This window comes from Homo sapiens, chromosome 6, assembly GCF_000001405.40.
Source record: "Homo sapiens chromosome 6, GRCh38.p14 Primary Assembly".
Classification (NCBI taxonomy): domain Eukaryota; kingdom Metazoa; phylum Chordata; class Mammalia; order Primates; family Hominidae; genus Homo; species Homo sapiens.
Genome location: NC_000006.12, coordinates 65765928 through 65786805, shown reverse-complemented (window position 1 = coordinate 65786805; position 20878 = coordinate 65765928). Strand labels below are relative to the sequence as shown.

Genomic DNA, 20878 nt, shown 5'->3' with positions numbered 1-20878 from the left:
CTTGTGGATATCACAGTTAATTGGTATCAGTACACATTATAGAAACTTAATTTATCAAAGAGGAAATAAGAATATATATAAGAAAATAACAAATAAAAAATAAATTAAAGTGTAACAGATTATTAATCTCTGAAATACGGAGACAAAGAGGTTTTCTATGTTACTTCTATAGACAGATAATAAAAAGGATTTCCTCATGGAAGTTTTCTCTTTTGTGTTCTAAATTGAAAAATCATCTTCAGATCAAAATATTCCTGAACTTGGCAGTGCATTTCCAAATTGTTCTTGGTGAAATTGTGTCAGTTAGAGAGATGTATACATGAATTAAAACATGAAGAAAGCTCTGTTTGGCGGAGAGACTAATAAGACTTTAAGAGAACTGCAGTAGGTAAAAATGGTGTTTCTAAAATCAAGTGTCTTCAGAATCTGGTCAAAGACCAACCATCACCAACTGTAGTGCAGAGAAACCTCCAGCACTGAACAGAGGCAACCAAGTAAATTCATAGCCATACACATAAAAGAAAGGTGTGACTTACAGGCCATAATTCGGCAATTCCTGATCTAGACAAGTATAAAACAAATAAACAACTACAAGACATAGGAAACTCTTCATTAAGTTTGAAACATTAAGGAAGACAAAATTTACCTAGTAAGGATTAACACATGATACGACTTTTTTATCTTACGAGCACTGGGGCCATCTTAAGGGACAGACTTCTTGGATCTATGCCCACTCTACTCTATAAACTCCTTCTTAAAAAGACTCAAAACAAAAGTGACAAGGACAAACAGAGAGAAAAGTTAGAGTGTTGCTACTGACGTGTTTTTACCAAAGATAAGAGTTTTCAATTCATGAGCACATAAGCAAATGATTTATAGAGGAGTGATTCCTCCATTCTCAGGAGATAAACTCAGCCATCAGTTTGAAATAAGAGATCAGTAATATTGTTTCTAAAGGAGTAAATAGTAAATATTTTCAGTTGTGGGGATCATATTGTCTTTGTCCTATCTGACACTGCTGGTGTGGCAGCAAAGACATAGACATAAATGAACAATTATAGTCTGTAGGCTATAACTGATCTAGACAATAGAAATCATAGCTCAGGCTAAATGTGGGGCGTAATTTACTATTGTGGTCAGAAAGGTTCCCATATAGGATACTTATTAGATGACAGGATAATGTACTGTTTCTGAATTGAGGATCTTCAACCATGCCAAGAAGATCTTAAAAGGTTCTTGAAGTGATTTCCAGAATGGATAATTATAGTCTCTTCCACAAACCACCAAAACATCTGTTGGTTAAGCAAATCTTAGTTTATTAAATTTGTGCAGCAACAAAGAACACTACCTGGACACAGTCTCAATAGTGTCTCAAAGACAGGATGTTAGCGAAGGGTATTTATGGGATTTTAAAGTATTAGCTCGAGTGGCTTAAAGTGGGTCTTTAGAGATGGGGAATGTTTTGGAACTGAATAAAGTTTTTACACAATAGGATTGCTAGACAAAGAAGGATGAAGATTTTGAAGACTAGTTGGAACTGTTGTAATAACTGAGCTGTTTCTTTAGGTGTGAAAAATGTTGTCTGACAGTTGTTTGCTCAGATGTGAACAAATAGTTTTCTCAGATACTTTTGTTGCAATAATTTCTTTAAGCAAACAGTAAAGTTATTTATTAGTTCATAATCCTAACTTCTTGGGTGAGGATTTCTTGGAGTAAACATTAAATTTATATAGGCACAGGCGCTTTTGTTTTTAAGGCAGACAGAGGCAGGGGCACTTTCCAGAAAAGTTCCAGCTTAGTAACAATATAAATGTTCACACTACAGTATTTTTATTGCCTGCCTACTTCCACTTCATGCCAACTAGTCAGTGGACTCTGTAGAACCAGAATATGTATTTTAATTAGTAAATCCTTAATAATGATAACTCTATTAATTTTAAGGATACTTTTACTTAAAAGGAAAAAAAAGTAAATATGGTGGAGGCTATAATATGCCACCCAGATCTCTTTTCTCGCGTGAAGTTGTCATTGTAGCTACCTGCTCAAATTTTGCCAATTAACAAGTCTTAGCTGTAAGCTCTCTTTAGCATTGTCTCAGCTGTAGAAAACTACTTTTCCCAATGTCATGACTCTTTCTGTGGGCAGACCCCTCCAATGGCCTAACAACATAGGAGTATGGAAGTCCTCTTCTCAATTTAGGACAACTCTGAAGTGTATCCTAGTTTCAGAAATCCTTGTGGGGTCAGCTGAGCATTGGTTGCAACTGAATAGCACTCACATTTTCTATATTCGTAATCCTCATTCCTTTTCCTCCATTTCAAGAACACTGATTCCAGCAGCCCCTATACATTTCCTGTGTGCATATCTACGTGTCATATTCCATTTCCTTTGTAATTCAACTTGAATGTTGAAGTCAGAAATGATCAAACAAGCAAATTTAAAGTTAAATTTTGGAGTTGAATCACTTGCTGCCTTAACAATGAGAAACTGTCATTGCAGGTAGGTGAAGTATAGACAGTTCCTGAAAAAAGATAGCTATGTAATTTATAAAAGTTACTGGTGGTAAGCTTTATGAACTAGTGGTATGGTTTATTTGTGGAGAAATATTTGCTCTGTTTAGATGAGAAGAATAGTAGAGTTGAAATAATGGCTATAAGGACAATGGAATTGGGTGGCTATAGCTAAGCTGTCTTAATATTCTGAGAAATGGGAATAACTACTAATTAAAATTAAGTATACTTCTGCTTGTAAATGTAGATAACAGAAAAAGGTCATTTCATTATGTAATTTTAAAAATCAGGTCAACTTTAAATTCAGATTTTATTTTTAAACTCCTTGCATAGCTAAGGATGCAGAACAACAAACTGGCCAAAATCTAAGGATAAAATACTTTTCTTGGGAAACAGTAGATGTGAGTACTTGCTCATCCGGGTTACAAGCCACTGGAAATCAGTAAGAAGAGTTCAAACAGAATATTTGAAAAGTTTTAAAAGCTGAATGTGAAGTGGTGAACAGTATAAACCTGTGGCCTGGGAGTCACAGAAACTGGGGAAGTTCATACCCTTTTGCAGACATACTTACACTAACTCTACTCACAGATGATATCAGAAAGATCCCTAAAAAGTTTGATTGGAATGCAAGCTGGGGTTGGGTAACAGGAGCTGTATAAAAGTGCAAGAAATTGTACCGAGATCTTTCTTGCATACCTTCACTGTGAAGCAAAAGCCTCAGTAGGTAGGTATAAGGACAAAAAGCATTGTTGTTTTTAAGGCATTGGTAAGGACTAATTGCATCTGTGGGAAGGAAAAAGGGGGAGGGGGGAGCTGTTCTTAGGAGAAGGGCAGGATAGGTACTCTGCCCACAACTACAGTCCTTGGTGGGTGAAAAAAGTAAGCCTACAATCCTGAGACTTGGGAACATAGTCATACCTAAGACAGAAGTTTAATCCAGAGCCACAGAGAATGGACTCCTCCAACTGCCCTCCTCATGACCAATTTAACAAGTTTTGAGTAACAATCAACAGTATATTATTCCTGGAAGAAGGACAGAAGGATCAAGAGAATGCAAAGGTCGTGAGGCAAATATAAAGGGAAGACCTAAATTTTATACTCCAACCGACATTGCTCTAAAAACTCAATCTATACCATAAACCCATGAAGTAGCTATAGGAATTTGAAATCTGTGGTTCACTGAGGGTACTCATAGCAACCAAAAACAAAACAAAACTAACATCTAACCCAACCCAACTCCTAATTAGATTACTTAACACCTTGCACTAAAGGCCCAGTAGAAGAAAAGCTGTGGCCATTTTCAGGAGTCAAGTCGTTTTTCTCAGCACACACAGGCATGATACTAATATTCAAACTGTCTGATGGAGAATTTAAAATAACTATGATTAAAATAGATTAATGATTCTAATGAAAAAGTTGCAAGATCAGATAGAAAATACCATAAAATGAAAACTAAAAAATTAAATGAAAATGCTACAAAAATTGTAAGAAAAATGTATTTGGAAAAATGCCACTGTCACAAACTTCAGAATAGACCCAAAATACCTAGGGAAATAATTAATGAATTTCAATATGAAATCATTAAAAATTATCCATACAGAAACGTAAAGAGAAAAAAGGAGAAAGAATAAAAACCATAAGACCACCAAAAGCTATGAATCAATGTTAAACATTGTAATATACGCATAATTGTGTCTCAAAAAAGGAGAAAAAATATTTCAATACCTAATGGATGAGGATTTTCCAAAATTATAATAAAGAGCCACCACAGATTCAAGAATCTCATAGAAAACCAAACTGGATAAGTAAGGGCACTCCACCAAAAATATCACCTAGACATATCATATTTAAACTTATACAAACAAAAGGTAAAGAAGAAAATCTTGAAGAAAGCTGTAGGGGGAAGGGGATCATTATATAAAGGAGAAAACTGTGAGAAATACTGAATTCTCTTTGAGACTATGTAAGTCAGAGGACAATAGAATGATATAAGTAAACTGGCAAACAGTTGGGGTTACCCTGACAACACATAACCCACAATTCTATTCCCATCAATATGAAAATAAATTGAAATGCTGAAGGAATTAAAGAAGGCATGCTGTGCAAAAAGAAAGCATAAAGGAGATGAAGTGACTACATTAATTTTATCACAATAAGTTTTAAAAATGTTACTAAAGACAACTTATCATCACAATTAAAGTATCTATTATTATCAAGAGATTAAAAACTGTGAATACATAAGCATGTTAAAACAGACCCCAGGAATATAGTAAGCAAACACAAAGAATTAAAAGAAGAAATAGACAAATTTTGAGTGACTTCAATATTCTACTCTCAATGATAGATACATTTACTAGGAAAAAAATCAGCAAATATATAGAAAACATGAACAACAAGAATAAATAAAAGACATATCACCAAATAGGGCATGCTAACCAACTTCTCACAACCCTCTGGGATGATGCCTGGTTTGCAACACCAAATAAGCCCCCAGAAGGTAAGGGGAATTAAGAATATACAGCAGAGGATGGAAATGATGATTGTTCTGTTGTGGTCCTGAGAATAGCTGCAGAAGCAAGGACTAGAACCTATTCCATTAACCTTAATCTTCTAAGTACCTCAGCAAGAGAGGTTCACCGCGACCCAAGCGGAACTACTCCCAGACCTCATTGAAGTTAGTGGACTATAATTGATATTATGATACATTGATTAGATGTCTTTTCATGCATGAACTCCCTGTGTTATCAACACACTAATTGTGAATTCTGCCCAAAGACATTTTTGCATTTAAGCCCTATTTGTGAATTGTTCCTCTGAAGAAAATTACCATGATCCACATTATTACTCCTTCCAATAGTAGCCTCACCCATGGCTTATCAAAGGAAGGGTAAAATGTCCTGGTTATGTCACTTCAACTTGAAACAATTCTGATGGGCCATATCTCCAGAGTACTCCCAAAGGGTGCCCTTTTGGTTGGGAGTGCATTACAACTCATCTTCGTCGTTTGCTCAGTTCTTTATTTCTGTTCCTTCCACAGATGATAATCCCAGGAGAACTCCACAACAAACATTCTTCAGGCTAATGTATGTCTCAGAATCTGTTTTCTAGCACCTGGGAACCCAACTGGCCATGGTAAAGTGGAGAATTAATTTTTCTTATTTTCAATGTAGAACAGTACACCATCTTTTCTTTTTAGTGGGAACATTCTTTTTCTTTTTGTTTTTTGACTCGTAATATTGTAACATACATTTCCTAGCCTTTATCAGGTGTCAGGTCTCAGCTAATGACTGAAAATGTTTCACAATTTTCTGTACATAAGCTTTTAACATAACCATTAACTTGAAAAACTACTTATATTTCTTAGGTCTTGTCTAAGAAAGAACTTTTTCTTTGTCACTGACATTGCGTCATATTGTTTTATCAAAATTTACTTACCACATTTTTTCCATTTGTTTTAAGCCGTAGTCACACGTAAAGTCTTTTGAAATTTTGTTTTTTTCATGTTTTTGAAATCTACTTTCTTAATATCTTGTGTTCAAATCTGACAACTCTTTACATTACTTTACTTGTCTATTATGAACACTAAAATGAAGCAGCTTTTTTTCTATACTCTTTCCACATCATAAATCCATTTTTTAAAAAAATTTTTGTCACATTAAAAAAAGAATAGCAATATCCATTTTCACTTTTACTTTCAAATGGGTAAAGTACTCCTATTTTTCCATCTGCCAGTGAATTATGTCTGACAATACAAAAATTAAATATATTACATATTTCTATAATATATTAAAAGTCATGAAATCGTTAAACAATTTATTTTTATTTTTATTATGAATAATTGGCCACAATTTATAATGCCTGCCATAAAAAAATTTACATACTGCTTTTTATTTTTTAAGTTCTCATATACCTATTTTTAATGAAACTGTAAATTTTTTTTTTATTATACTTTAAGTTTTAGGGTATGTGTGCACATTGTGCAGGTTAGTTACATATGTATACATGTGCCATGCTGGTGCACTGCACCCACTAACTCATCATCTAGCATTAGATATATCTCCCAATGCTATCCCTCCCCCCTCCCCCCACCCCACAACAGTCCCCAGAGTGTGATATTCCCCTTCCTGTGTCCATGTGATCTCATTGTTCAATTCCCACCTATGAGTGAGAATATGCGGTGTTTGGTTTTTTGTTCTTGCGATAGTTTACTGAGAATGATGATTTCCAATTTAATCCATGTCCCTACAAAGGACATGAACTCATCATTTTTTATGGCTGCATAGTATTCCATGGTGTATATGTGCCACATTTTCTTAATCCAGTCTATCATTTTTGGACATTTGGGTTGGTTCCAAGTCTTTGCTATTGTGAATAATGCTGCAATAAACATACGTGTGCATGTGTCTTTATAGCAGAATGATTTATAGTCCTTTGGGTATATACCCAGTAATGGGATGGCTGGGTCAAATGGTATTTCCAGTTCTAGATCCCTGAGGAATCGCCACACTGACTTCCACAATGGTTGAACTAGTTTACAGTCCCACCAACAGTGTAAAAGTGTTCCTATTTCTCCACATCCTCTCCAGCACCTGTTGTTTCCTGACTTTTTAGTGATTGCCATTCTAACTGGTGTGAGATGGTATCTCATTGTGGTTTTGATTTGCATTTCTTTGATAGCCAGTGATGGTGAGCATGTTTTCATGTGTTTTTTGGCTGCATAAATGTCTTCTTTTGAGAAGTGTCTGTTCATGTCCTTCGCCCACTTTTTGATGGGGTTGTTTGTTTTTTTCTTGTAAATTTGTTTGAGTTCATTGTAGATTCTGGATATTAGCCCTTTGTCAGATGAGTAGGTTGCGAAAATTTTCTCCCATTTTGTAGGTTGCCTGTTCACTCTGATGGTAGTTTCTTTTGCTGTGCAGAAGTCTTTTAAAAACATAACTAGTGAAGAGAGCAAATATATGGAAAATGTGATAAACATTTTGTTTAGTTTTCCATTTATCCATTCCTTTTTTTACCAATATTTATTAAGTGCCTACTATGTGTCAAGTGCTGTTAATAGGTAATTGGGATAGAAAAGTGATGCAAAGAACAAAAAAGAGAAAACTTCTGTTTCCATGGAATTTATAATCTGCTGAGGTGAGACAGACAATGAACATAATAAATAAGTGAATTATGCAGGGTGTGGATTGGCAAACCTTTCTGCAAAGACCAGATATTATATACTTCTTTAGGCTTTGCCAGCCACGGGATCTCTCATACTTTTACAAACTGGCACTGTGGTGACAAAGCAACCCCAGACAATAGCTAAATATATGGGTATGGCTATGTGTCAATAAAATTTTATTCGCAATAAGTGCTATAGAGAAATATTAAGCAGAATGAGGAAGATGGAAAGTACATGTGCCATTTTAAATAGGATGGTCAAGGAGTAGTCACTGTAAAGGTGATAGTTGTGCAAAGACAAAGAAGATAAGGGAGGAAAGTCACTTGGATATGAAAGGAAGAATGGTCCCAAGAGTAAGAATTAGGTCAAAGATTTCTATTAATTACTAAATTGTAATGTGACCTACAAGGGGTGATATTTTCTAAATTTGCACACTAATGATTGTCCTTTTCTTTTTGTCAAAGCTAGTGTCTGTTCTGTGTCTGTGCCATGCAAGTTATTAAATATTCAGACATCACCAAAGCTTACCACATAAAAAGCATATACCTCTATTTGGGAGGCTGAGGCAGGAGAATCACTTGAACTTGAGATGTGGAAGTTGCAGTGAGCCGAGAGTCTACCACTGCACTCCAGCCTGGGCAAAAGAGTGAGACTCTGTATCCAAAAAAAAATGTGTATAAATATAAAACATGAGTTTGGAAATTTGGGAATTATAAGTTTAGTAAATAATTCATTATTGTATAATTATGTCCCATTTACATATGGACTAATTCACATATATAAAATTGGCATGCTATTTACATGCTTCTAAATATTAAAAATATGAAATATTACATCATGAATAAATTATATTCCTATTGATAACAGAATTTTCTAAGAAAGTAAGCTAAGGTGATTACAAAAACTGTTTCATTCTATTTATATATTTATTTTATTTTCAACTTTTATTTTAGGTTCGGGGGTACACATGCAGGTTTCTTACATGCATAAATTGTGTGTCATGGGGGTTTGGTGCACAGAGTATTTCATCACTAACGTAATAAGCATAGTACTTGATGGGTAGATTTTTTATTTTTATCTTCCTCCCACCCTCAGCTCTCAAGTAGACCTTGGTGTCTGTTGTTCATTTCTTTGTGTCCGTGTGTACTTGATGTTCATCTCTCAAACACAAGTGAGAACATGCGGTATTTTCTTTTCTGCTCCTAAATTAATTCACTTAGCATAATGGCCTACAGCACTATCCATGTTGCTGCATGATTTCATTCTCTTTTATGGCTGTATAGAATTCCATGGTGTATATGTATCACATTTTCTTTATTCAGTTTACCTTTGATGGGCATTTAGGTATATTCCACATCTTTGATTGTGAGTAGTGCTGCAGTGAACACATGTGTGCATGTGTCTCTAAAGTAGGATGATTTGTGTTCCTTTAGGTATATACCCAATAATGGGATTGGTAGGTTGGAATGGTAGTTCTGTTTTAAGTTCTTTGAGAAATCTCCAAACTGCTTTCCACAGTGACTGAACTAATTTCTCTTCCCACTAGCAGTGTATAAATGTTTTCTTTTATCCATGACCTCACCAGAATCTCTTATTTTTTGACTTCTTAATGTTGGCTATTCTGATTGATTGGTGTGAGATAGTATCTCACAGTGGTTTTGATTTACATTTCTCTAATGATTAGAGATGTTGAGCATTTTTTCATATGCTTGTTGGTCATGTGTGTAACTTCTTTTGAAAAATGTCTGTTTATATCTTTTGCTCAATTTATAATGGGGTTGTTTGTTTTTTACTTGTTCATTTGTTAAAATCCTTATAAATTCTGGATATTAAGCCTTCGTTGGTTGCGTAGTTTGCAAATATTTTCTCCCATTCTGTAGGTTGTCTGTTTACTCTGTTGATAGTTTATTTTGCTGTGCAGAAACTTTAGTTTAATTAGGTCCCTTCTGCCAATTTTATTTTTGGTGTAATTGCATTTGACATCTTCGACATGAAGTCTTTGCCAGGGCTTATGTCTAGAATGGTGTTTTCTAGGTTTTCTTCAAGGTTTTCTATTGTTTTTGGTTTTACATTTAAGTCTTTAGTCTATCTTGAGTTGATTTTTGTATATGGTGAAAGGAAAGGGTCCGTTTTTAATCTTCTGCATATGACTAGTCATTTATTTTGCCATTAATTGAGTAGGGTTCCCTTTCTTCATGGCTTGTTTTTGTTGGCTTTGTCGAAGATCAGGTGATTGTAGGTGTGAGGCTTTATTTCTGGGTTCTGTAACCTGTTTCATTGGTTTGTGTGTCTACTTTTTAAGCAGTACTGTGGTGTTTTGTTTACTGTATCCTTGTAGTGTAGTTTGAAGTCAGATAGTATGATGCCTTCATCTTTGTAATTTTGCTTTGGATTATCATGGCTATTTGGGTTCTCTTTTGGTTCCATTGCAGCTTATAGCTTTCAGTGAATGCTAAGAATGAGTACTCAGACAATTCCAGCTGAGCGGGGTGAGGGGCAGCTCTTCTGAGAGAGTGCCCCCCAGAATCCATCCACCAAGTATTTATTGAAAGGGCTTGCTACTACAGACATCCACCAGATGGCATTTTGCCGTCGGGTCATGAGATACATATGGCCTTGTAAAAGCAGTTAAACTACATTCTTAGGAGACTGTTTTCAGCATTCCGTATCACACACTCAATTGCTTGTCCTGTTTTCAGGGTCAAGGAGTTACAGTCTCATGCACAAACAACATACACACAGTACCTCAGTGTTTTTCTATGCCCTGACCTCAAATGCCTTGTACAGAAGCTTGAATATATTGCTATGCAACCCCTTATATCCATATAAATTTTAGAATATATTTTCCTAATTCTGTGAAAAATGCCATTGGTAGTTTGATAAGAAGAGTGTTAAATCTGTACATTGGTTTGGACCATATAGCCATTTTAACAATATTGACTCTTCCTATCCATGAGTATGGAATATTTTTCCATTTGTTTGTGTTGTTTCTGATTTCTTAATTCAGGGTTTTTAAATTCTCATTCTAGAGGTTTTTCACCTCCCTTGTTAGCTGTATTCCTCGGTATTTTAATATTGTTGTGGCTATTGTGAACGGTATTTTGTTCTTGACTTGGCTTCCAGCTTGGATGTTTTTGGTGAATAGATATGCTAGTAAATTTTGCACATTGATTTTGTATCCTGAGGCATTGGTGAAATTGTTTATCAGCTCTAGAAGCTTTTAGGCAGAAACCCTGTTTTTTTTTTTAGGTATAAAATCATTATGTATGTGAAGAAAGATAGCTTGATTTCATCTCTTCCTATTTGGATGCCTTTTATTTCTTTCTCTTGCCTGATTGCTCTGGCTAGGACATCCGGTACTATGTTGAATAAAAGTAGTGAGAGTAATACTCTTCTTCCAGTTCGCAGAGGGAATGCTTCCAGTTTTTGCCCATTCAATATGATTTTGGCTGTGAACTTGTCAGAGATGGCTCTTGTCATATTATTTTGAAGTGTGTGTCTTCAATGCCTAGTTTATTGAGGATGTTTAATATAAAGGATGTTGAATTTTATCAGATGCTTTTTCTGCATCTATTGAGGCAATCATATGTTTTTTGCTTTTAGTTCTGTTTATGTGATGAACCATATTTATTGATTCATGTATGTTGAACCAACTTTACATCCCAGGGATAAACCCTACTTGATTATGGTGACTTCACTTTTTGATATGCTACTGTATTCAGTTTGCTGAATACAGTATTTTCTTGAGGATTTTTGTATCTATGTTCATCAGGGAAATTGGCCTGAAGTTTTAACTTTTTCTGCTGTGTTTCTGCCAGGATTTGATATCAGGATGAGTTAGGGAGGAATCCCTTCTCCTAAATTTTTTGGAATAGTTTCAGCAGGTTTGTTACTACCTCTTCCTTATACATCCGGTAAAATTCAGCTGTGAATCTGTCTGGTATAGGGCTTTTTCTGGTTGGCAGGCTTTTATTATTGATTCAATTTCAAAAGTCATTATTGGCCTGTTCTGCGTTTTAGTTTATTTTTAGTTCAATCTTGGGAGTTTGAATGTTTTCAGAAATTTATCCACTTCTTGTAGGTTTTCTAGTTTGTGTGCCTAGAGATGTTTGTAATAATGTCTTGTCTGAAGGTTTTTGTTTGTTTGTTTTTGTATTTCTGTGATGTCAGTGGTTATATCACCTTTATCATTTCTGATTGTGTTTATTTGTATTTTCTCCTTTTTTTATTAGTCTACCTACCAGTCCATCAATATTATTTATTCTTTCAAAGAACTAACTCTGGTTTCATTGATCCTTTGTATGGGTTTTCATGTCTCCATTTCATTCAGTTCAGCTCTGATTTTGGTTATTTCTTTTCTTCTGCTAGTGTTGGAGTTGTTTATTTAGTTCTTCTAGGTGTGATGTTAGCTTGTTAATTTGAGATCTTTCTAACTTTTGAGATGGGCATTTAGTGCTAAAACTTTTCTTATGACTTTTCTTATAACACTGCTTTAGCTGTGTCCCAGAGATTCTTGTATGTTGTTTATTTGTTTTCATTGGTTTCAAAGAATTTCATGATTTCTGCTTTGTTTACCCAAAACTCATTCAGAAGCAGGTTGTTTATTTTCCATGTTATTGCATGGTTTTGAGAGATCTTCTTGGTACTTATTTCTTTGCTTATTGCACAGTGGTCCAAGATCGTGGTTGATATGTTTTTGGTTTTGTGAATTTGTTGATTTGTTTTATGGTTGATTGTGTGGTCGATTTTAGATTATGTATCATGTGCAGATGAGAATAATGTATATTCTGTTGTTGGGTGAAGTGTTCTGTAGACATGTGTTAGATTCATTTGGTCAAGTGCCAAGTTTAGCTCCCAGTTATCTCTGTTAGTTTTCAGCCCCAGTGATTTGTCTAATACTGTCAGCAGGGTGTTGAAGTCTCCCACTATTAGTGTATGGTCATTTAAATCTCACCATAGATCCCTATGAACTTGTTTTATGAATCTGGGTGTCCCAGCGTTGAGTGCATATATATTTGGGATAGTTAATTCTTCTTGTTTAATTGAACCCTTTATCATTATGTTATGCCCTTATTTGTCTTTTTGATCACTGTTTGTTTGAAGAAGTCTGTTTTGTCTCAAATTAGAATAGCAACACCTTCTCTTTTTTGTATTCTATTTGCTTGGTAGATTTTTATCCATTCCTTTACTTTGAGTCAATGGGTGTTACTACATGTGAGATTGGTCCCTTAAAGATAGCATATAGTTGGGTCTTGCTTTTTTATCCAACTTGCCACTCTGTGCCTTTTAATTGGGGCATTTATTCTGTTTACATTCAACGTTAATATTGATACGTGTGGATTTGCTTCTGTCATCTTGTTTTTAGCTCCTTGTTATGCAGATTTGATTGTGTGGCTCCTTTTTTAGTGTTAATGGTCTATGTACTTAAGTGTGCTTTTGTGGTGGCTAGTAACAGTCTTTTACTTTCATGTATAGCACTCCCATAAAGATTTCTTGTAAGCAGGTCTGATGGTAACAAATTCCCTTCGCATTTGCTTGTCTGAAAAGGGTCTTATTTCTTCTTTGCTTATAAAGCTTAGTTGACTGGATATGAAATTATTGCTTAAAATTGTGTTTCTTTAAGAATGCTGTGTATAAGTCTTCAATCTCTTCTGGCTTATAGGGTTTCTATTGAAAGGTTTGCTGTTAGCCTGATGGAGTTCCCTTTGTTAGTGGCCTGTCTCTAAATGCTTTTAATATTTTCTTATTTCACATTGACGTTGGGAAATCTGATGATTATGTGTCTTGGGGAAGGACATCTTGTATAGTATCTCACAGGGGTTCTCTGCCTTTTCTGAAGTAGAATGTTGATGTTTCTAACAACGTAGAGGAAATGTTCATCGACAATATCATCAAATACTTTTTCCAAGTTGGTTCTTGTCTCTCCCTCTCTTTCAGGGATGCAAATAAATCCTAGGTTTGATTTCATGTGTAGCACTAATCTCACATTTACACATTACATAATCCCACATTTCTTGGAGGTTTTGTTCATTATTTAAATTATTTTTTCTTTATTTTTGTCTGACTGTGCTGATTTGAAGAACAAGTCTTTGATCTCTGAGATTATTTCTTCAGTTTGGTCTATTCTGCTGCTAATATTTCTAATTTTATCATCGAATTCCTAGAGTAAGTTTTTCAGCCCTATCGGGTTGGTTTTGTTTTTTCTCTTAAAATGGCTATTTTGTTTTTCAGCTCTTATATCATTTTATTGGATTCCTTAGATTGGGTTTCAACTTTCTCCTGAGGCTTGATTATCATCCTAATCCAGATTCTGAATTCTGTGTGTCTCATTGCAGCCATTTCAGCCTGGTTGAGAACTATTGTTGGGGAACTGGTACATCATTTGGCAATAAGAAGACACTCTGGCTTTTTGAGTTGCCAGACTTCTTGTGTTGGTTCTTTCTCATCAGTGTGGACTGATGTTCTTTTAATCTTTGAAGTCGTTGTCTTTCGGATGGGTTTTTTTTTGTTTTGTTTTTATATTATTTGATGTCCTTGAGAGTGGTATAAAGAGGGTTCCGTTGACTAGCTTCATTTCTGGAAGATTGTACTGGGCCAAGGCTCAACCCAGCACTCCTGGGCTGCATGCTGTAACACTTGATGGCTGGTACCTGGCCCATGGCTTTGTTCTCTGGCCTCTCGAGGTTGAGCACCTCCTGCCCTGGAGGGGGCAAGGTGTTCCTCATTTGTTAACAGTAACACTCAGGTCGGGAGTACCAGCCAAACTGTTTCATCATGGTGCTGATGAAGTGGGATCCATGCTTGTACACATGTGTTAGTGGCAGTGGTGGCAAAGTGGAGTCAGCAGTGGGGTCCGTGCTTATGCACATGTGTTAGTGGCAGTGGTGGTGAAGTAGGGTATGTGTGTCAGCTGGGGTGGGGCAACAGCAGAAGTTGGGTGGCAGGTCTGTGTGTGCACATTCGCATCAGTAGTGGTGGTGAGGCAGGGTGCAAACATGCTAGTGGAGGCAGGGTGGCAGCCATGAGATCTGCACATGCATGTGTGGGTGGCAATGGGGCAGTGAGTTCTGTGTACGCTCTTGCACCAGCAAAGTGGTGCAGAAGTCCATGAGCAAATGCATGCTGTCAAAGTGAAGGGAGGAGGCTGTGGATGGGTGGGTGCCCATCAGCAGGGACTTGTCTTTTGAATCTCTTCAATGGTTGTGCTTGGTCTGCTGGCAAAGGAGCTATAATGTCAGCTGCCAAGAAACTGCCCCACACCCCCTCAGGCATCCAAGGCTGTGCTGCAAGTGGGCATGACCAGGCAATGACCGTGTCAGAGGCCAGCACACAGTGGGGCACTGAGATTAGACTTTCCCCTCCCACAGGTAAGACCACACTGCTGTGTCCAGGTTCGACAGTCAACAAAAGCCAATGCCCCCTAAAGGAGCATAGCAAGCCTTGGGGGATCGATGTCTTGGTCATGTTCCATGGCAGCTGTTCCCATGCCAAACCCTCTTGGCTCTACATAGGCTGGAATCTTATCCCCAACACCTCTCCAAGCAGCTCTCCCTGTTAGCTCAAATGTCCATGGAGGTCATGGGGTCTCCTGCAGCTAGGATTCTGGAGGTCTGTGGTGAGAATGGGTCACTCCTCACCTATTTAATTCACCTCTTCCCCCAGAGCCCCCGGGGGCCAGGAACCAGAGTATACCATCCTTCTTGATCATCTGATCTCTGTGGGAGATGCTCTTCCTGGCTGCATCGAATCATCCATCTTGGCTCCCAATCTATATATTTTATTTAAAATGCAATGAAAAAGGCTTCAAAGTTTCCTTTTCTAATTGAGATCCTTTATAATTCATTATATTCATTAATAATTTATAATTATGCAATATGTTTAACATCATGAGAAATAAATAAACATCTCTTAGGCTCTTTATCAGTTTTTTAGAGAATAAGAAATAGTTTGAATTAATGTAATATAATTTCTGCTGGTATGTTCTTATTTCTTCCCTTGCATCAGGGAGGAATTTGAAGTCACTATTTGAGACCCAGGGAGGGATTTGAAGTCACTAATTGAGACCTAGGTTTCATGATCAAATAATTATTTTTTATTTTATAGCCTCATGTAAAATTGTCCAAATATTTCTTATCATTCTTGTTATCAGGTGTATGTCAAGCACTGTATTGAGAAAAAAAAAAACACAACAAACGTTTGGAAAAGATAGAGGCTTGTTAGTAATTTTCATAAACTTGATATAATCAGAAGCAGCATCCAAGTCTAGGTGAGATTTTTATTTTGTGTATTAATTTTAACTTTAAAATTGCCAAAATGAGACTGGTTAAAATTCCATTGTACTTTAAAATTTAATAATAGAAATCAAAAGATACTTATGATGACATACAGATAATAAGAAAATAATGCAGTATATCATAAAATGCTCACCTTAAAACTGTAAATATTTTAGCTAGCTTTGACGAAAAAGATAAATTACATGCCCTTGACATATATTCAGAAAGTGAATTGTTGTAGAAAGGTGTGAAATGTATTCTATGGTAGCAACACATTATCTGTACTTGAGCACTGAAACAATCAAATGTATTAGTGATGTTACTTTATTAGACAGGCTTTTATACCAAATAAATTTTATTTAAATGTTGGATGTATAAAAACATGGAATAATGCATAATTTAAAATGTTAGCAGAATATTCTTAAAATTTAATATCATCTTGTCCCACCCCCATTTGTGTGTCATGTGTTATTAGGGAAAGATTAGCAGTTTATAAAGTTCTCCTCATGAACGTGTTGATTGATACCTTATAGTTGATTAATATTTTTCATCTTCCCTCTCTGTCATATTCTTTCCTGCCAGAATTCTACCTACTATGTATAAGTAAAAATGTCCAATTCGATTGTTGACATGACTAGCAAGAGAAAAACAAATTGGACATTCACAAATCGCAGCTTCCATTCAACACTTAATTCAGATATTAATTTTTGAAGAAAATTAAAATAGAATTTTGTCAAAGCAGCTGCCAGGTGGCAAACTTGAAGGATATTTGATTTTTAGAGCTCAAAATGCCTTTTAAAATTTAAAATAAAATGACTATCAAATCAAAATTATTTTTACATAAAATATATACATTCTTTGTATTGTTAGTGGTGAAGAATATATACTTTTTAGTCAGATTACCTGAATTATAATGTGGATTCCAGTGCTTAATTGCCATGTAAGTTTTTACACTTTTTAAGACTCTCTGTGATTTTGTTTCATCGTCTTTAAAATGAAGTAGTAATAGTATTTTTGTTTTTTTGTTGGTTAGATTTATGGAATTACTTAATACTGGTAGACAGGGTTGGGTACTAATTATGTACTGTGTACATGTTTAAGAGCTTTTTTTCTGGAAATTAGGTACTATTTTAACATACTTCAGTAGTATCAATATAGAAAACTTCATTACTAATGGAAAATGGTTACAAATATATGTGATTCACGGTCACACTAAGTACAAATTTAAATATAAGTATAAATAAGGGGATGGTGTCATATTCATAATTTGTTTATCACTGTACATCTTATATAACTAGCCAGAAACTGATGAATCTAGTGATCAGATTCTTTAAGCCTCAAGACATATATTTGTGAATACATGAATATCTGCACACATTAAATTTTCCCCACTTTAAAGAAATAACACTATCCCAGCGTTTCATGTAAAATGATCACACACACATCATTCTATATTATTGTAATAACATTACCATGTCATAGAATTTGAAGGTTTTGTTAACTACACTTCATTGATAAATAAAATCTCTAAGAAGTTTGTAGCAAGTTAATGGCGACTCTAGACTAAAAATCTCTGTTGTACCCATTATACATTCATAATAATTTCATTTACACATACTTCTAAAAATTTGTGTTGATTGCCATCTTCTGACATATTTCATGAAAATGAGAGATAAAAGGGGTTCGAATGGACATAATTTTATTATTAGAGAATAATAGAGGTTATATATCTTCAATATTTTAAATCAATAGAGATAGAGACTTAAATGTAGAACAGATAAAATAGAGGAATAAATGGATATGTTCTTAAGGCAGAATTGTCTCAGATTCTTCTTGATCCAGCAGTTTTTCAATGGGGGTTGATAGAAGAGAAAGAAGTATAAGAGGAGGGGCAGAGAGGCAGTGTCTCCCCAGGAGGCATTTTTGACCCACACAATAAATGCATAGAATACAGTGTTGGGTGGGTGGGATCCAGAAATGTTAAACTTTTGCCAGAAACAGGGCAACTCCTAACTCGAAGTTATTGTTCCACTTAAAGTTCCAGTAATACCTCAATACTGGTAAGGGTCTTTTTTCTAACATATTTTAAGGGATATGACTATTTCATCAGTTAAGAATTGTACAAACAATATTTTACCGTATATCATGGCTTACTGTGTTCCTCAAACTATGTATCACAAGCAAGTAGAAAACTTATGAATTTAGATTAAATTTCTTCTAACTTTTTGGTAATTCAAATAACTGGCAATACCTTCTGCCATAATTGCCCCCGTTTTAGTTGAAATAAAAGAAAAACAAAGTTTACATATAGGAAAGGGTTTTATTGGAAAATTACCAGATTCTATAAAGCCATTGTCAAAATCATTTTTTAAATTGTATTATTATTATACTTTAAGTTTTAGGGTACATGTGCACAACATGCAGGTTTGTTACATATGTATACATGTGCCATGTTGGTGTGCTACACCCATTAAAAATCATTTTTATCTGAGTTGCCTCTATCAGAGTAATGAATCAATGTGGTAGTCTATAAGTAACAGAAATCAGTCAATAATTCTTAAAATAAGTTAGGAACTCATACTTGTTTTAAATAATGAGATGTACATTGGGAAGTCCAGACCCAAAGTAGCCACTCAATCACATTGATTTCCCTCTTGTTTCCATATATGTGTTCTGCCATCCTTAGGCTACCATACTTGAGGTGACCTCATGGTTATGAGATAGCCACTAGGATGCCTACCATCCCATTTGCCTTTCAGGTAGAAAAAAAAAAAAAAAGACAAAATGGCATATGCTAGTTGACTCCTCACCCTACTTCCCTTTAAGATTCCAGTTTCATGACCTAAAACTACTGTTAAAGCTCTTTAGCCAGAAATAACCAGTTACAAGGCTAGTCCCACTTGTCTAGGGGGCAAGAAATTGCAGTTTTCTTTGCCAGTGCGTTTCATTTCCAATAAAATCAGCTTTCTGTTGTTAAGGAAAAAGACAAGAATGGATAAAATATAGGCAAATGGCAGTTTCTGCCACAAGGATTAAGGACAATAATTAGGTAAATCAGAGTAAATGATAAAAGAAAAATGTTTGTGGAATGGGGTAAAGGAGATTAGCTTATTTGGCATGGAGTTCAAGGCCTCTGATGGCCAAGATATGTATAGACAGGCGAAGGCAGTAGCTGGGCAGGTCTGCCAATTTGTTGATATAATCCAAGCAAATAGGACATTTTGGCAGAGGAAATATTAGCTGTAGAAAAGACCATGTTTGCTGTGCTAATGTGAGTAGTTCAATTTGGGATGATAAGGATCTGGTCATGTAATTTTATTCCCTGTGCAGCTAGTAACTTACCCATCATAATTATACTTACATCTTATTTTTTATTTTAATTTTATGTCCAGGTCCAGAGGAAACTAAAACATAACCAAATTTTTCATTCAGGAGTTATTAATAAATTTGCTATGAATTTTTGGCATGTTTTCTAAAAGTAAAACGAATTAAACACATTTCCTGAAAAATTATTTACTATCCATCCATATGTAACAATCTTGCTCAATTTCAGACATATAAGTAACAAAGCCAAAAGTAAAACCCATTTCTCCTTCAAGCCAAGTCTATGTATTAACCCACTCAACTATACCAAAATCTCTTCAGGACTTTGCTGAATCATGACATTAATGGGTATGAAATGACTAGATGAGGAAAGTGGGTCAAACTAACTGCATATGACTAGAAGCACATGGAAAACCATGTTTAAGCCTGGGCAAACATCACTGTGAATGTTATTAGCAAACTGCTAAGCAACTCAGATGGAAAAAGGTCTTAAACTACAAATGCAGGGACCTATTAAAGAAAGAGGTTTACTTAGAAAAGAAAAAATATGTATGAAGACCACTTGTGAAAAAGCGATTAGTATTACTTGGACTTGTCTCAAATGACAACTGAGTTTAGCTACTGATACATTAGCTTGACACTTAAAATCATCAGTGGTACCCTGGGACATCATGAGTGTTTGGGGTTATGTAAGCAATCTAGATAATTATCTTTATGGAATGAACTTTGTTTATTTATAGCAAGAGTACATATAAAGGATTAGGTGTTAGGCCAACTCCTCACATTTTCACTACTTTTGACCTTATACCATTTCAATAAAATATCTATTTGATTGGCATTTTCAGAGCTTTAGTGAGAACAGAAAGTATGCTATAAAGAGCAGTGCTTTCAAAGCATGGTTATCATTCCACTGTCACCAAGCTCATATGGGTTCTTGAAACAAAAGCCAGTTAATAAACCCTGGCCTAAATATACTAAATAATAATAGCTACAAGTGGACACCAGCAATTTGAATTTCTCACAGCTCACAAGATGATTCTTATACTCTAAAGATTGAGAAATATTGGTATTGGGGATGGACATTCATCTATTACTTGTTCATTGCCTTTACGTGATGGCAGATATGTGGCATTCAAGCCCCTTTCTCAGTCTTGCACACCACCAGGCAGTGTCACTAGTTAACATAGCACCCTTGATACTGAACCCAGGTTAAGCCTTAGAGTCCTTTTCAACACTATACTCCACTTATCATCCCTTATGTGTTGGTACATGAGTTGAATCATACTGTCAACTCAACACTGATAATTACTCAAAAAATATTGATAGAACTTGACTAAATAAAATGTCTACTGTGCACTTACATTCCTTTGGTGAAGAGTACAAGTATGAAGCTCCTTAATAGTCTCCAAACTTAAGGAGATGAATAAAGGTCTAATTTGTATTTTGTTTCTTAGTAATAAAGGAACATTTACCCCTAGCCTAAATGTTGAGACTAAGCTGATTGAAACAGCTGTAGCCAGTTGTCAACTAAATTCTCTTTACTATTAATCGGAAACATGCTCCTGAGTCTGTGGAAAGTAGACAGTGTTAGACAAAAGTAAAACTTT

At 35.3% G+C, this 20878-nt stretch overlaps 2 annotated features.

Moving 5' to 3' along the window:
• Window positions 14471-14970: an enhancer, noted in NCBI's record as "H3K27ac hESC enhancer chr6:66481729-66482228 (GRCh37/hg19 assembly coordinates)". NCBI's record gives its function as "activates a minimal SCP1, AML or CMV promoter by ChIP-STARR-seq in naive H9 embryonic stem cells {active_cell/tissue: H9 hESC(naive)}" and the evidence as "EXISTENCE:reporter gene assay evidence [ECO:0000049][PMID:30033119]".
• Window positions 14971-15472: an enhancer, noted in NCBI's record as "H3K27ac hESC enhancer chr6:66481227-66481728 (GRCh37/hg19 assembly coordinates)". NCBI's record gives its function as "activates a minimal SCP1, AML or CMV promoter by ChIP-STARR-seq in naive H9 embryonic stem cells {active_cell/tissue: H9 hESC(naive)}" and the evidence as "EXISTENCE:reporter gene assay evidence [ECO:0000049][PMID:30033119]".